The sequence below is a fragment of the Homo sapiens genome, chromosome 5, assembly GCF_000001405.40.
Source record: "Homo sapiens chromosome 5, GRCh38.p14 Primary Assembly".
Classification (NCBI taxonomy): Eukaryota; Metazoa; Chordata; class Mammalia; order Primates; family Hominidae; genus Homo; species Homo sapiens.
Window position 1 is genome coordinate 123,211,399 of NC_000005.10, and position 5,606 is coordinate 123,217,004.

A 5,606-nucleotide genomic window follows, 5' to 3' on the forward strand; every position below is an offset into this window, starting at 1 on the left:
GGTTAGCAAAAAAGGTACAAATCTTATCTAAACCTCTGTACATCAAGTATGGATATTCACTTCTAAATCAATTCAGAATCAAATTGATTTTTGGTGTCAATGCCCAAAGGTAGGTAAATATAGATGAGATGGCTCTACCTTAGAGAGTTGAATGATTCCTCCATATTTAAAACTCTGTTCAACTTAGTGAGAAGAGATTATTAAGATACGTAATGAAGTCCTATTTTGTATGGAGATTTGATTCCAATGTCAGTATTTAAGGCAAAAAATGTACGTAGTCCAATCATCCTTGACAAACCCTTATAATGCATATAAAGTATAGTCATATGTATGTATAAAAGTTTAATTATATAGTAAAATACAATATGTAATAAAGATTACATATGCAATTAATAATTTGTAATATTTTTAAATGCACAAAAGCCAAGTAGACTCTGTCTGATTTTATGCGGCTGAGCTGTTTTAAGTTAAATGTATGCATGTACGGCCTCTTCTCGCAGACATGTGTCTGTGTGGGCCACACAGGCGCTGGGGCCAAGGCTAAATAATTCCTCTGTATTCACATGCCTTCACTCCCAGAGTTTGTTTATCTGTCATCCAGTTCTGTTTTTATGGTCCCATTTCTTTGCAGTATCTTGTAGTTTCTTGGCCTCTGATTTACTTTCCTTGAGATGATACTTAAGAGGATTGACATTTTAAAATTTAGATGAGTTGTCATCTATTTAATACACTCTTCTGGTATGAAGAACTAGTTTTATAATGAGTCAGAAATCAGCCTTGTAAAATAAAGGTGAACACACTGGGCCAAATGCAAATAGGCTAATACCAATTTCTAATTGTTTCCTTCCCAACATTTTGGTTGAAGATGGGGTGAGGTGTGTCTTCCCTTCCACACTTACTGGATTTACATGTGACTAAAATCATAGTGCTAAAAGATACACTAGCAACTGTTACACTGAGATTTCAGTTAAGAAGAATTACAGTAGAACTCCTTTATCCGAGGTTTTGCTTTCCAAGGCCTCAGTTACCTCTGGTCAACCAGTCTAAAAAAAAATAAATGAAATATTCCATAAATAAACAATTCACAAGTTTTTAGTTGTTTTCCAGGGGTGTAGTGACAAAAGGAATTCTGTGGGGGTTGGTCATCTCTCAGTACCCATGATGGAAAACAGGCCCATTTCTCTACATCTGATTACTAGCCCCCTTCCTGGGCAAGGCATCTACCCCCATCTCAGGGCCACCCATGGCTGTCTCAGCAATCTCTTCCCCTTGCCAGCTCTAAGGATCGCTATTGTGGGTGGAGGTGAGAAATGGAACTCCAGAGAGACTGATTCGGTTTGATTCTCACCACTTCTCTGTCATACTCCAGGATAAGGGGCTTTTGGATTTAAAAATGCATAATGTGTCCCTTTGTTCACCCATCCCCTCAGAAATTGGCCTTCAGTGGAGGCCATATGTCTAACAGTCCTAATGGGAGAGTCTCACAGAGTCGCAAGGCTTAAAAAACTGCAAAAGAAAAAACCCCACATAACTAATATATCAAATTATTATCCCACCACACTAAGAAGTATGTAGAGATTTGATACATGACTATTAAATAGAAAACATATACGACCATATAACTGTAGCTCCCTTCTCTAAAAGCCAAAGACAAATGGTCCATCAAAAAGTCTATAAAGTTACAGCTGAAACAGTCCTGCAAATCATATGTGCCCAAGGAACCATTAAAACATGCATCATTTTAAAGAGAAGTAGAACTGGAACCCTCCAAAGTGAAATTCACATTTGGTGAAACCTCAATGTTATAAGTTGAAAAGCGGGTAACTTCATATGTTTAAACTTCAGTGGTAATCATTCTTGCAATAGCCTGGTTTAGAAATTGTTAGTATCTTGTTAACCTTACAGTGGACTTTTAATGTTGTTTTTCCCAACACTTAGAGGTGAAATTTATAATATATAGATCACTAAATAAAAATGCAGAATGTCATCTTTGAAGCATACTGATTGATGCAAAACTGACTTAAATAAATGCAGTTTGTGGCTATCTTCCAGCAAGTGCTTTTGATGCTAAAGAGTTCCATACAATAGATTTCCATTTTCAAAATCACATCAATTTTTACTTAGAGCATTTCTGAAAACAGGTGCCGCCACTTCCAATCAGCTGCCTGGCTATAATTTAAGATTCTCTTTCCATTAAGTTTCCATTGCGTTGTAGAAACTTGACCAATGTACGGCAAGATCTCATTGCTTTGGTGTCTTGATCTGGAAATCGCTGTTTCCAGTGCTGCCAAGGATTGTGCCATCAGTTGCTGTGGGATGAAGAAAAAAAAATTACCCAGAACTTTTCTTGGAGTTTGGAGTCACATCATTTGGAAGAGGGAGATGGGTCTTGGGCCAAGCTCTCTTCCGTGACTACATGTTTGGAACAGGAAGCTTCTCTGTGACTGGAGAATTGATTGATTGCTTGATATTTATTGAGCACCCATGGTGGGTTTGGTTCTCAATATATACGAACACATCAATAGTTTTCTTTCCCAACCAGAGATATGATGCCTCAGGATGCTGCCTTAAGTACTTTCCAAAACAGTTCTACCTGGAGTCATTCCTATATCCTTTCAGAATGGTTATAAACAACAACAACAACAACAACAAATAAGTAAATGTGGTTTGATCAGAAGTTTCTTGTCTTTTCCCAATGGTCCTCAACTACTTCTCAGTATTGAGCCCAATCTATAAGTAGAATTAGAATTAGCGATGTCTGTGGGAGCCAAGCCCTCTCTGACCTCCACAGCAACAACTGTTGTATTTCAGAGCAAAGGTCATCTGGAATTGGGAGGAATCCTCTAATTTCTATCACTAGCAGGAACAAAAGCCCCAGGCTTGGCAAACCTAATGGACAGCCTATGTTTCCAAAGTGACTGCCCAGGAGGATTGCTCTCCTCTGGGCTAGATGATTTCATTAATTGGTTTCTAACTCATAAGTCTGAGTTATTTATTGTAAAACCAAATAAGGACCATATGACTTTGAAGATCTGATCAGACCAGGCTGTGTGGGCCAGATACTGAGCAGATCAAGCTTCCCAGCATTAATCTGTCACAGTCCATTTTTCACTTGCTACATCATCTTTATGCAAATCTTCCCCTAGAGGGGCGCACCTACTCAAGAACCCCTCTCCTTCACCTCCCACAGCTGTGGATGTTTTTGAGCTATAGGCACATAAACTTAAGTCTTTAGATGTGCACTTAGAATTTTAGAGCAGGAAGAGATATTAGCAGTCATCTTGTATAAACCCTGATTTAACGTAAGGCAAAAGTGAGATAAAATGACTTGTCCAAGATCACAGAGCCAAAATGACGACAAGAAGAGAAAATTGTTATTATATAAGTTATGCATAAGTAGGACTAGAAAGAGCCCACTGGCTTATTCAGCCATTGGAAAGCATTCCTCATTACTAGAAGCTTGTCATATTTCCCCTTCTACCTCACCTTATTTAATAGGTTATAAAAGCAAAACATAATGTAAACAAGCACATCAGCAAGCAAAAGCAATATATATTTTGGAAGCTCTCAACTATTCTACTCATAACTGCTGTTAATTTTTGATGCATATACTTTCACTCTTTTTAACTTAGGCATAAAGGGCATATGATTTCTAGTTGTTGTTGTATGTGTGTTTTTCTGTTTTTAGACAGAGTCTCATTCTGTTGCCCAGGCTGGAGTACAGTGGCTGCAGGCTCGACCTGCCTAGGCTCAGATGATCCTTCCACCTCAGCCTTCTAAGTAGCTGGGACTATAGGCACGTGCCACCACGCCTGGCTAGTTTTCGTATTTTTTGTAGAGGCAGAGTTTTGCCTTATTGTCCAGGCTGGTCTCAAACTCCTGGGCCTAAGCAATCTGCCCACCTCAGCCTCCCAAAGTGCAAGGATTATAGGCATGAGCCACTGCGCACGACAAGCATATGACATTTTATAAAACTTCCGATTGCATTAAAATCAGTAAGAGTAGAATTAGTTGCGAGGCTTTTTTACTTCATTCTACAAACAGACTAAAATGTTGTACAGGTTATAGGGAACTGCAGAGCTGTTTAAGACATAGCCTTTCTCTGATATATGTAAACATAGAGCTCTTATTTGGATTCTGATTTGTTTATGGGAAGCCCAGGTCTCTGGATTCAGGAATGATACCTTTCTGACACAAATTTTGTCCTGTAGATGTCTACTATCCTGCTGCAATGACTTCTGACACCAACAATCTAGAATTAGGCTTCACAGATTGAGAGCACAGTCCTCCACAAGACTGCCCTCACTTTAGACACAAGCTGCAAGTTCAGGGTCACCAGACCACCTGCACTTATGACCAGCTGGCTACAAATCTGAGAGTTCCCATTACCTTCTCAGGTTAGAAAATTTGCTAGAATGACTTGAAGAACTCAGCAAAGTGCTATACTTAGGATTACAGTTTTATATAGCAAAGGATACAAATCAGAACCAGCCAAAAGCCAAAAGAAGACCTGCCCAAGGAGAGGTCTGAGAGGGTCCCAAATGCAAAGTTTTGTGTCCTCAAGGATATGTCATTCTCCCAGCACATCAATGTGTGACAATAGGCAGCATAATGCCATCAGGGAAGCATGCCCAAGCTTTAATGTCCAGAGTTTTGTTTGTTTGTTAGTTTCATTGTGTAGGCATGATTGCTTGAGTCATTGTCCACACGGCTAGTGTTTGGATAACAAAGCTCCCAATTCCCAAGATTGCCTGGAATGTCTAAAGCTTTGGTGTTGATCTCATCTAAGATCTGTAGTTTTCTGTCCCTCACTGATGACCCTGATCATTTAATTTCCTAAATAGACCACTAGGCAAACCCTTAGTCTGCACTTACAGTGGAGAGAAAATTCCCTTAGCTTCATTTGTGAACTGCTGATATTTTTCTTACTCTAGTTCAGCTGAGAATCTCTCCTCCTTCCAAAATACTGAGAGGGAAAAAGTGTATGTTTTCAGGGAAGTGGTGCAGAATGGGTCATGGTGTGGGGTGGAAGCATTGGAAGCACCAAGAAATACAAACATCTATCCCTGGAGTCAGACTTCCTATTTGTTTGTTTGTTTGTTTGTTTGTTTAGCACTCCCTCTAGTGACACCAGAATTCCCTCAGGTTACAATTGGAACACAAAGTAGCACACGATAAGCATCTTTAAAGAAGTTTAAGGCACTACGTGGTTAGAGAGAGGAGGCATTGTTTCCATTTGGAAGTAGCAGATGACCTAAGACTTGGAAGATGATTGTAGCCTGGAAATGTGAAAATAGAAAGAGAAACAAACACACTAGCTAAGACCTGGAAGGAAAGAGAATCAGGCAAACAAAGAGTTGACCAATGTGATTGAGATTTGAGCTCATAAGGAGGAATCATGGGGGATATGTAGGAAAAGGTTCTAAATTTCAGGATCCATGAAGGGCCAGGCCAGGCATGATGGAGCCAGCGATCTAGGTTCTATTGATTCCGAAACATTTTGCTTTGTTCTTCTACTTCTGAGGCTCATGGGTCCAATCCTATTCCTTCCCCATCCACTGAGCAGGCACATATGCAAACTGTCACAGGCAGATGGGTGTTTACCC

At 39.7% G+C, this 5,606-nt stretch overlaps 1 annotated feature.

Annotated features, from left to right (window-relative positions):
• Positions 4,416 to 5,008: an enhancer, noted in NCBI's record as "OCT4-NANOG hESC enhancer chr5:122551508-122552100 (GRCh37/hg19 assembly coordinates)". NCBI's record gives its function as "activates a minimal SCP1, AML or CMV promoter by ChIP-STARR-seq in naive H9 embryonic stem cells {active_cell/tissue: H9 hESC(naive)}" and the evidence as "EXISTENCE:reporter gene assay evidence [ECO:0000049][PMID:30033119]".